Source organism: Homo sapiens, chromosome 6 (assembly GCF_000001405.40).
Source record: "Homo sapiens chromosome 6, GRCh38.p14 Primary Assembly".
NCBI classification, from domain to species: Eukaryota; Metazoa; Chordata; class Mammalia; order Primates; family Hominidae; genus Homo; species Homo sapiens.
The window spans coordinates 111,359,332-111,371,600 of NC_000006.12; the positions used below are offsets into that span (position 1 = coordinate 111,359,332).

The following is a 12,269-nucleotide window of genomic DNA, read 5'->3' on the forward strand; positions in this document are numbered from 1 at the left end:
AACCAAAGTCTGTCACGTTTTACTCTTCATGTAGTTAGCTAAACTATATAGTTTTACCTGTAGTTTAAAGTAAAAAGAGAGCTTTTTTAAAATTCAAATTTCCTACCAATTAATTCACTACTACTTGAGGGCTACTTAAACTTAGACTTTTGCATACACTAGGCAGATTTTTAATTATAGTTTTTCCTGAAAAAAAAAAAAAAAAAAAAAAGAACTGTTATGGTATCAACTACACAACAGCCAGATTTTTACACATGCACATTTTCTCTTTAACATATAATGCAAAAAAGTTAATATTTGCTTTTCATGCTTATTTTTCTATGCCAATATAAACTTTTAACTGTAATTCTTAGTTTTCTTTCTAAAATCAAGACAGAGTAAATAAGAAAAACAAAATATAGGTTGAATTCATGATTATAGCTAGAATTATACCTCATCTTTTTATCATGTACATGTACCTGGCAATGGAAAACAGATTCCTGTTTCAATATTGGTAATTATTCAGATCATATAAATTTAACAAAGGATTTGTGTTTTGTATTATCTTGCATGCAAACTGTTGAAGAAATGTAAATTCAAGTTTCTCACTAGTGACAGGAGTAGAATTTGGTAAATCTCTATCAAAATTAAAATCCATTGATGTGGCAATCCTACTCCTGAAAATTTATCCTAGAGACAGATACACTCATACATGTAGATAAAATATACACAACAAGGATGTTTACTCGAGAATAGCAAAGACTGGAAAAAAACTAAATGTTTACCTGTTGGGGACAGGTTACATAAATTATGTGGTATCCATAAAGGATACACACAATGGAATATTCTGTAACCTTTAAGATTTTCAAGGGAATGAGGCAGATCTGTATGTCCTAATATAAAAAGATCACTATAATACACTGATACATGGAACCAGTAAACACAGTAAACTTCTATACATGAAAAAATGGAAGCACATGCATAGAAAATTTCTGAAAAGTGACATAAAAATGCAGACATACTTATTGCTTTGGGGGAAAGAAATTGCTAGCCTAAAGTAGGAGGGAAGCTTACTTTTCATTGCAAATTTTTTTGTCCTGATTGAGTATTTTTGGTATATATACTATTGCATGTGCTCATTGTAAATTTGTTAAATAATCTTTTTTTTTTTTTTTTTTTTTTAGACACAGGGTCTCTCTCTGTTGCCCAGGCTGGAATGCCATGGTGTGATCATAGTTCACTGCAGCCCTGAACTCCTGGGCTCAAGTGATCCACTCACTTCAGCTTTCCTACTAGCTGGGACTATAGGTACATATCACCATGGCCAGCTAATTTATAAAAACTTCTGTAGAGATGGGGCCTCACTATGTTGCTCAGGCTGGTCTCGAACTCCTGGCCTCAAGCAATCCTCCTGCCTCAACCTCCCGAAGTGCTAGGATTACAGGTGTGAGCCACCTTGCCTGGCCACTAAGTACTTTTTAAAATATAAAGAACATCAATTATGCATGTATAAGGCATAATAATAAAACAAATACAAATCTACCACTTTCCTCAGAAACATATACTGCTGTTTCTACTTTAAAATATTAGTATTAAAAAAAAAATCAAACCACATGAAATGGAGAGCTAAGGGAAAAAACTTTTACTTTTAAATGCATACTCTTCAGAACTTAATTTTAACAATAAGCATGCATTAATTTAGTAAATAAAAAATTTTTAAATGGAAAACTCCTCCCACAAACCCAAATAAAACAAAACAACCAGTTTCATTAGAAAGGGATGAACATATGAGGCCGGGCACGGTGGCTTATGCCTGTAATCCCAGCACTTTGGGAGGCTGAGGCAGGTGGATCACCTGAGGTCAGGAGTTTGAGACCAGTCTGGCAAATGTAGCGAAACCCCGTCTCTACTAAAAATACAAAAATTAGCCGGGTGTGGTGACGCATGCCTGTAATCCCAGCTACTAGGGAGGCTGAGGCAGGAGAACTGCTTGAACCTGGGAGGTGGAGGTTGCAGTGAGCTGAGATTGTGCCATTGCATTCCAGCCTGGGTGACAGAGTGAGACTATGTCTCAAACAAAACAAAAAAAAACAAAAAACACACACACACAAAAAAAAAAACAAAAAAAAAAAAGAAAGGGATGAACATATGAAAAGACATGAAGACTCTGAAAACAATTTTAGGTTAAAAGGGTCTTAGAGGTTGATTTTTGTTTACTAGATCAAATTTTCACACTCAAAATTTGCATTTCTATTCCTTAATAACAAAATGCATTACTGTGCTTAGGGGGTATTTTTTTAAAGCAAACTATATAAAGACATGGCTTGAGAGATTTAGTGAGTGTGACTAGGCAAGAGGCAGGTGAGAAGGGGGACAAAGATTACAACCCTTGTCTTCTGCACTGAGTACTGATGTGCAGAAGAAAGAGAGATTATCCTAGGGTAATGGAAACAGAGGGAGAAAATGCCACAAGCATAATTTCCTAGAGAAAGGAAGAGAACAGTATTTTTTCTTTGGTTTATTCCCTGTTTCAACCACCGGGCGGCAGTTTGGAATGTGCCTTGAGATGAGGAAAGCCGGTTATCGGGAGGAAGAAGCTGTCAGAGCAACCAGTGAGACCTCCAGAGTGATTTTAACTTCCAGAGGGCCCATGGTTCTGAAACAGGGTTACCTAGGAAAATGTAGAAAAGCGTACTTTTCAAATAAGAGAATAATCAAATGTAACATGTCTTTTTGCTATGGTCTATCAAATTTGCTTTAATACATATTTTTAAAAAAGTTTTTAAAAATTTGCTAATTTCAAGTTTGCATTTGATGGTATGTATTACTGAATTTATCACTTAATTTATCTAGGCTTCAGGGGCTAGTATAGACCTAGGTATAAAACAGAAACTGAATGAATGCTGCTGAATGAGAAAAATGTGCAAATGAATAAATGAGGGAGAGACTATGTTCCAATCTAATTCTAAAAAAACATAATTCTCAGTTCAAATGTGAAGAACAAAGGAGGACAATATTAAAATTTTTCCCTCAGTTTATGTTAATCTAATCTCTAGAACAGTTTACAACAGAATTGACTTGAGAAAAAAAACCACACTTAAAAATTGAATTATAACTTAAAGGTGGTTACTAATCCTCTGCTTTAAAAGCAAAGACATAAAGTGACTGTATAAAACTAGCATTGTCCAATAGAAATATAATGAAAGTCACATGTAACTTAAAGTTTTCTAGTAGTCACATTTAAAAAAATAAAAATAGGTTAATTTAAAAACACTTTGATCTGATCCAATATATTTAAAATATTATCCTTTCAACATGTAATCAATATTAAAATTACTAACAAAATATTTTAAATTATTCTTTCCATGAAGTCTTTGAAATGAGTATGTACTTTATCCTTCTAGTATATCTCACTGTGCACGCTAAATTTTCTACAGAAATACTTGATCTGTAATTTCATACAACTTAAGAGTAAAAAATAGTATTACATACCTAAGTCGTTCCAAACATACTTTGAGTCAACTATGTTTTAAAATCTAAATTAAAATTAAATAAAGTTTAAAATTCAGTTCTTCAGTTGTATAAGCCAAATTTTAAGTTCTCAATATCCATGCTGCTAGCGGCTACCATACGACAGCACAGGTGTAAACAATGAAAACATACTCCAATTTCTATCTTACTGCCAGTCAGATATGTGCTTTGAGTTTGTTTTCTGCATACAAATAAATTTACAGTGACCCATTCACATATTCTTTCCAATGCATACTGTAGCTGATGTATATTTTTGCAAAGTCCTAGTCTTTGGCAGGCAGCCTGTGCTGTGAAGATAGCTGGATTAAGTAGAGAGTATATGAGTGAATGAATTTATCCTCTTTTGTAGCAAGCTCTAATCCACTCAGCCAATCAAACAGAAAATACAAGTAAATATCACATTTCAGATGTGACATAACATCTTAATATAATAATCCCCAAAATACAGACTTACTTCTTTTTTTTGTTTTTCCCCAAAGAGACAGAGTCTTGCTCTGTCTGTAGCCCAGGCTGGAGTGTAGTGGCGCAATCACAGCTCACTGCACCCTCGAACTCCCAGGATCAAGTGATCCTCCCACCTCAGCCTCCCAAGTAGCTGAGACTATAGGTGCGCGCCACCATGCTCATCTAATTTTATTTTTATTTTTTGGTAGAGACAGGGTCTTCCTATGTAGCCCAGGATAGTCTTAAACTCCTCGACTCAAGGGATCATCCCACCTCCACCTCCCAAAAATCTTTTCTTATTTTAATGTCCATAAGCTGAATTTCAGTTATGAGATTTGTGAAAGATATGAAATCACAAAGCAGTCTCAGCAACTTAAATGCTTTAAGTTTATGTATTGTACATAAACATGTAAATATACAAAATAGTAAAATGAGAACAAGATGAAGATTAATAGGATAGAATTCAATATACTCCTCCCTTGTTAAAAAAATTCCATACTTGTTTTATAGAATAAAACAGGAGTTAAACTGAACACAATGTATGTGTCCTTACTGTTGCAGTTTTACCTCATGTAAAGCTTTTGCCTCCTGTAAGTTTTGTATGCTGACTTTGAAACCGTAAGTATTGTTTAAAGATGGTCCATCAATCTGAGAAGTTTCTTTCTGTGGGGTATTTACTGCTGCAAATTGATTCTATAAAAAAAAACACACACACACACAGCCAGAAAAAGATACATGAGCAATCATTTTTCTTTTGATTACTTATTCTCAGATAATATGCTTTATGTGTTTAGTAATAAATGGTAAACTAATATCATCTCTAAGTTCAAGAACAAACTGTATTTTATTAATGTTATTTTCATGCTAACAAAGATATCAGAACTGGATACATGTAGAAATATAAGCAAACCATATGTTATCTCTCAGTTCAGAAGCCCTCAATACTGAAAATAACAGTTTTGTAGGGAGTTGACATTTATACCACATGGACATTTATCTTGACCTTTCTTGGAAGTAAGAAAGACAAGCAAGCAATCAATATATTTCCAACTACTTTGGCTAAAGTTTGTAAAAGATTTGAAATACTGATTTGTATTTTACTCTAATATAACATGTGTCTGAAAGATGAATTAAATAAAACAATGTAATCTTCAAAGATTCAGAAAAAAATGGAATCTTTCCATTTCTTACAAAATTATTTTTTCTGATTTCTAAATCTATTAACTGTTTTCCCCAAAGTGTTATGTTCACAACACACTGATATAGTATTTTTTAATATATATAGCTTGTAATTCAACAGTATTTTATAAATGAAAGTTTAAAAAGTTTGATAATCTCAGAAATATTAAAATATATTTTATGTAGTTAATGACATTTATAAGAAGTGGCCAATATATAAGTGATTTCTAGCATATATTTCCAAGGATGTATGTCTAATGTATACTTCTTTCACATAACCATATAATTCTAAGTTTTGTCATATTTTTAGTATTTGAATAAAGACATTTGTGACTTTCCAGAGTTTCAGTAGTAAATAATGTTGCTTTCTTTTACTACTTAGTAAAATAAATTTTAAAAAATCAATAAGGTTATATTTTAGAAAAAAGTAATAAACCAAGAAAAAGGATATATTTTTGGTGGGATCAAAAATCACTTACTTGAGCTCTGCTGTCATTGGATTGTTCTGATTTTGCCAGTAATCAGTTAATGTATTTGTATCCTCATAATCCACATTTTGGCTATCATATTCACTTTCTCTGTAATATTTGTATTTACATATAAGAATCTTTTAGATCCCAACATCAAAAAAAAAACTAAAAAAAGGCAAATTTTTGTTGTCTCAAAGATATGCAAATAATGATGCAAAAATTTAAGTAACCAAAATTTTTTAATTGAGACAAAGTTAACAATTATCTAACTGAAATCTAGGAAAAAGACTGGCTCTTCCACTGATCTTTAAAAATGTTTAGTATAGTTACCTTTGCTTGTGTTAACAGTACTCTTCTAAGAGTGTCAGTATTACTTCCTTTCTTATTACTCAACTTCTGTGTTTTTGGTTCTGTAGAAAGAAATTTAATATTTAACATGTATATCAAAATTACCTGCTTCTGGTTTTTAAAAAACCTTTTGTTGTTCCAAACACTTAAGTACCACTTGTGGGTGCTGTCCTATGAATTCCCCCCAGAATTTCATAATTTAAAAATGAAATTCAAACCTCTGATCCCAACCAAAATAACATTTTGACATTTTGTATTTTAAATGTTTATGTTTTAATTACTGAATTTTATACCTCAGTCATTAACCTAGAGAACTGTTTAATTCATTTATTCACTTATTTATCAAGTATCTATGATGAGGAAGAAAAGACATAATCTCTGCCCTTGTGGGGTCTAGAGAGAGAATCAGACATTCATCAAACATACTAGAAAAATAAAATTATAACTGCACTAATACAACAAAGGGGAATATAATTGGGAATTTTTATGTAGTCAAGGAGATTAGGGAAGGTTTCCTGGAGGTAAAATCTGAAGAGAGTAGTAACTAACTAAGAACAGAGTGGGGATTTTTCCCTGATTACTGTGCAAAAGAATTGGAAGTTACTAAGAGTAGATAAAATGGCTGGTGCAGGAGCCCAGGCAAGAGATGATGACAGTTTGGCCTAAGGTTGTGGTGGAAGAAGTACAATAAAGTAGATAGATCTGGGTTACTTGGGAGATAAACAAGTGATAAGGCTTGGTTAGGGACTAGAAACTACAAGGTGGGTAATGAGGGAATGAGGTGAGTGTTAAAAATAAATTCTATGTTTCTGACTTGTGTAACTAAGAAATGATGGCACTATTCATTGAAATAAGGAAAACTGAAAGAAGGCCAGATGGGTTTTTATGTGGAGGCATGTATATATAAGTGTGTTGGGGAAGTGGTGGTGAATGTATGCGGTGAGATCATGAATTGGTTTTTAAAATACTAATCTTGAGGTGCCATTTAGCATTCAAGTGGAAATGTCAGATAGGTAGTTGGATATAGTGTTCTGGAGCTTAAAAGAGAGATCTGAACTGGGAATATAAATTTGCGAGTTATCTGTAGTAATCCTGTAGACAGGAATTAGATCATTTAGAGAAAGATATAAAGAAGGCTTAAGACCAAGCCTTAATAAACTCCAACATTTAGATAACAACTGAGAATAATGAGAAAATCAAGTGGGAAAAAAACAGAGAAGTAGGAGGAAAGCCAAGTGGAGAAGCTCCAAGAAGGAAGGTAAGGTCAACAAGAAAATGGCTGCTTAGAGGACATATGATAAGACTCAGGAACATCTATTGGTTTTAGCTATAAGTTTACTGGGAATCTTTACAAGAGCTATAATGTAGAATGACAGGGGCAGAATTCAGTTTAGAGTGGGCTGAGAAATGAGTAGGAGGTAAATAACTGGAGTTGTCAAATTAGATAAATCTTTTAAGAAATTTGGCTTTGAAGGGGAGGAGAAAGAGTAGAAGCTGGCTGGAGACGTGAGGTCAAGGCAGGTTTTTTGTTTCTGTTTTAAAATGTGGGAGACCTGGGTATGTATAAAAGCCAACAGGAAAGTCAAGTTGAGAAGATAAGCCTTTTGAGAGGGCTCCTGCATTTCACCCACAAGACAGGATGGAAGCAAATATAAGTAGATTTCACAGCAGAAAGACAGTTGCCATGTGACGACTTTCTAAGACATGACGAAAAATATTTGCTGAGCTATACCTTCATTTAAAAAGCTCTGATTTTCATTACAGTCTAATGTTATCTTCATTTCTATTTCTGAAGAACAATTATGGAGACTTCCTGTTATTTGTACACTTACCTGTTGATAATGGGCTAAGGCCAGGTGCTTCAGGAAGCCTTTCCAGAAGTTTTCTCTGTATGATTGGTGTACTATGAAAGCAAAGTGATTCACATTTCCCAGTTCTTGCCCTAGTATTAATTGGAGATATCACTAGAGGCTCTTGAGGCTCACTGCAGGGGCTTTTTTGTATACCATCTTTTATTGGCTTTAAGAAGTTCTCAAAAGCCAATGAAGGCAGCTCCTCTACTGGTGATGAGGGTCTATCATCTCCATTTAATGCTTTGGAATCTGGGGATATTGGTTGTTGCCAAGGGGGAATTACTGGAGAATCAGGGGAGCTATAACTAATGTAATAGTTATCATCATCATCTTCATCTTTTTCGGGATCACTTGCAGAGGCAACTGGTGGCAGCATCTGACTTTCACTTGCAGTTTGACTACATCCCGTGGTTGGTGCTTGTAAAGCAATCTGAGAATTATCAACATCCTCCTTGGTATGTGCTGTAGTGGGGAGTATACATGGACTTACATCCATTTTTGGAGGCACTACAGGTTTGTCATCTGGGTTAACTGAAGAGCTAAAGTTCTCAGCAGATTTTACAACTCCAGTTGGCTTGGTTTTAGGCAGTTTCTTGGAACGTTCGTATTCTTCTTTGGCTTGAAGCCACACTTGAACCAGTTGTCGACTTGGGGCACATTTGCAAGGCATAATCACAATTTTTTTATCTTCAACCATCTTAGGGCTATTACTTGACCCTTTATTGACAACTCCTTGGCCACTGCGAAGGGGTGACCCTGGCCTTGGATTCTGAGTCATTGCTGAGAATGCTGTTTTCCAAAGACGAAGTCCTTCCAAGGAAAAGTCTCCCTCAAACTCAGCCAGATCATTTGCAAGTCGAGTTTCTACCATGAGGAGCCGTCCACCAATCTCCCTATAATAACATATTTTAGAACAACTGTTTTGTTTCAAAGAGCAATTACCAAAATATTTAACTCCATATCCTAGATAAAGTCCCTTTTGGAGTCTCAAAAATGTCCATGTCTATCTTCCCTGCCCCCTCTATATTGTGCAGGTACATTCTATCTTTAGTCTCAATATGCTTTTCCTCACAGGTATATGACTACTACTTAATTTCCTTTGGAAGGTACCATTAATCTTAGGGAGAGAAGGTATTTTTTGTTTTATTTTAATGCCCCATGAAGCCTTCTGTCCTTCAAGGAGATGACACAAACTTTTCAGATTCCTTTCCTCTCCTAATCTTAAAATAAATTTTCCATTATTACCACATATGAATAAAAACAATGAATTTATCATTCAAATACTATGTCCCTGGATATTATTCATAGCTTCTTCCTATATTCTCCAGTATCTGTAGTTTAACAAAGCCAGTCAATTCAAATGAATCTTCGTACTCTCAAATTCCCTTAAACATTAAAAAAAATACCAACTGAGGTAAATTACTCTAATTCTTTCTTCCCATTCCATGGCAGGGATTAACACTGACATAACTTAGGAGCTGGCAGAGCCCACAGGATGCATGGCTTAAATGTTACCAATGCATGAATATGTGGGAAATCACTAATGAAAACAGTCTGGTTTCATTTCCAATAGTTATAAATATTAAGTGAAACCTCTGTCTTTCTCCAATCCCTTGATACTATTTCTGCTTACTACAGCAACATAAAATAATTCTACTTCTTCATGTTAACTTTATTATGGATATAAAGTTAATTCATAGTTTTTTCAATCACTTCTCTTAGGGCATGATTCCCCAAATGTCCCCATCACTCTCTATGTAAAATCCACTAACTGGATCATGTTTTCAGATTTGAAGCTGAAAGAAGAGCATTAGGGCTACTCTGTCTCCTTTATATGAAAAGACTTAAGCCCCTACTAGTTAACTCCATAACCAGCATCCAGCACTGTCCCTGCATCCACTCTTGGCAATGTGAAAAAACAGAAACAGAATTAATGCTGTTGAAGGAAATGAATACACATACCAAGTGACCATACCCAACTCTAATACTAAGGATAGAGAAGTCATAATGAGGTCAAGAATAAAAAATGGTGAGGTGTCGGGAGGCTGAGGCAGGAGAATGGCGTGAACCAGGGAGGCGGACCTTGCAGTGAGCCGAAATCACGCCACTGCACTCCAACCTGGGTGACAGAGCCAGACTCTGTCTCAAAAAAAAAAAAAAAAAAAAAAAATGGTGAGGTGTGGTGAATTCAGTTTTCTTACATATTGTCAGCAGCATGGTAATTGCTATAACCCACTGGGAAAAAAAATCTCCTAATATGTATCAAGAGCCTTAAATTTTTCAGTAATCCTACTTCTAGGGCTATAAGGAAAAACTCCAAAATACAAGAAATGCTTTAAGAAGAAAATGCTAATATCTTCTTAACATACATAATAATATACATAATATCTATAGTGGCAAAATTGCAAACAACCTTTCTGTCCAATAATATATACATGATGCAACATATGCAGCGATTAAAATATTCAAGAAACTCATTTGGAAAATGTTTACAATATAATGTTAAGTGAAAAATTTGGATATAATACTGTGACTATAGTAAGATCACACTTCACAAAACAAAACAAACTAAAAACTATACTTTTTAAAAAAGAAAACAGAATACACATCAAAATATTATGGTGGCTGTTACTACATGGAAAAATGATGTAATTTTTATTTTTTCTTCTTTCATACTTCCTAAATTTTCTATATTGAATATACAGTTTCATTTTTTTTTTTTGAGACAGTCTTGCTGTGTCACCAGGCTGGAGTGCAGTGGTGCGATCTCAGCTCACTGCAACCTCTGACTCCCTGGTTCAAGTGATTCTCCTGCCTCAGCCTCCCGAGTAGGATTACAGACTCATGCCACCATGCCCAGCTAATTTTTGTATTTTTAGTAGAGATGGGGTTTCACCATGTTGGCCAGGATGGTCTCGATCTCCTGACCTTGTGATCTGCCCACCTTGGCCTCCCAAAGTGCTGGGATTACAGGCGTGAGCCACCGTGCCCGGCCTACAGTTTCATATTTCAAAAATATTTTTCAAAAATGATTATTTTTTATTTTAGCTGCAGGACAAGTGTCAAAGTTGGACAATAACAACAACACAAAGGTAATGACTAGCACATAAAGTTTGGTAACTAAAAGTAAATATACCATAATCACTACTAATAACACCAAAGTCCCCAAAATGATGGAAACTAACGTCTAAAGAACAGATTTCATATGCTCCAGCAGTGAAATAAAGAGTTCCATGTGGGTACTAAACAAAACTGTGTGTTGAAAAGGGGCTGGGAGGTGGACATTTCTACCTTTCACTTCAAGTCATTACAGGAGAGAACTTTTATTCTGCATTTCTGATAACCTTTTCTCACCCCTTTATTAAAAAAATAAATTTTATTGTGTATATTTAAGGTATAAAATATGATATTAGTATATAGTAAAATGGTTCTTACAGTGAAACAAATTAACATATCCATCATTTCACATTCTCAACCCTTTCTTAAATGGATTCCTATAGGAATTATTGTGAATCTGCTGGGTAAAAGCCTGGCATTCACTGTCGTGTTTTTTTAATTTAAACTTTTTTAAAAAGATATTTTAACAGCTTTAGGTTGACAGCAAAATTGAAAGGAAGGTACAGAAGTTTCCCATATATCCCTTGTGCCCCCACACATACATGGCCTCCCTCATTATCACCATCCCCTACCAGAGTGGTACATGTGTTACAATCGATGAACCTATGTTGACACATCATAATTGTCCAAAGTCCACAGATTACATTTGGGTTTGTTCTTGGTGTGGTACTTTCTATGGCTTTGAACAAATGTGTAATATTCATATTGTATCTTTCTTTTTTTTTTTTCCCACTGGAGTCAGGAACATGGTACTGCCACAGGTCAGTGCATACATGCAGTGTGTCCTCTGCTGCTTTTCCTATCTCTTTCCAAGATTTAGACTAAGGCAGGGCCTGCCTTAGCAGTTCCAGCCATCCTCTTCTGCTTCTGAATGGATGGCTGAAATGAACTGCCTGCTCTGCAACTGGTTAAGTATATGAGATCATGGACACAAGGGCAGGAACAAGAGCCATCATTTAAACTTTCTGGATTAAGCCACATTACCCAATTTAGCTTTCATCAGTTATGTCCTAACTTGGTGATGAAAGTGGTATACACCATAACTACTTAACTACTGATAAATAAACCAGTACTCTGATTTCTATTTTGCTATTTGCTGTGTGTGTGCGTGCGCTCACATGTTTGTCTATCAATTCCCTGAAGAGATTTTTTTTTTGAGATAAAGTCTCATTCTATTGCCCAAGCTGGAATGCAGCGGCGTGAACACAGCTCACTGCAGCCTTGACATCCTGGGCTCAAGTGATTCTCCTTCCTTAGCCTCCTGAGTAGCTGGGACCACAGGTGCATGCCACCATGCCCAGCTATCTTTTTTTTTTTTTTTTTCTGAGATGGAGTTTCACTCTTTATT

The 12,269-nt window shown here is 35.0% G+C and overlaps 1 protein-coding gene across 16 annotated transcripts in view; it reads right to left on the reverse strand.

Moving 5' to 3' along the window:
* REV3L (REV3 like, DNA directed polymerase zeta catalytic subunit) overlaps window positions 1-12,269 on the reverse strand; it is a 184,679-nt gene that overhangs the window by 60,299 nt on the left and 112,111 nt on the right. For 15 of the 16 annotated variants that reach the window (NM_002912.5, NM_001286432.2, NM_001286431.2 and 12 more), the window contains 3 exons: window positions 7,784-8,697; window positions 5,934-6,013; window positions 4,522-4,647 (listed from right to left, as the gene is read on the reverse strand). In NM_002912.5, the coding sequence (NP_002903.3) occupies window positions 4,522-4,647; window positions 5,934-6,013; window positions 7,784-8,697 (1,120 nt within the window). Of the gene's footprint in view, window positions 1-4,521; window positions 4,648-5,647; window positions 5,712-5,933; window positions 6,014-7,783; window positions 8,698-12,269 lie in introns of those variants that run through there. The other variant, XM_017011155.3, reaches the window with a different exon arrangement.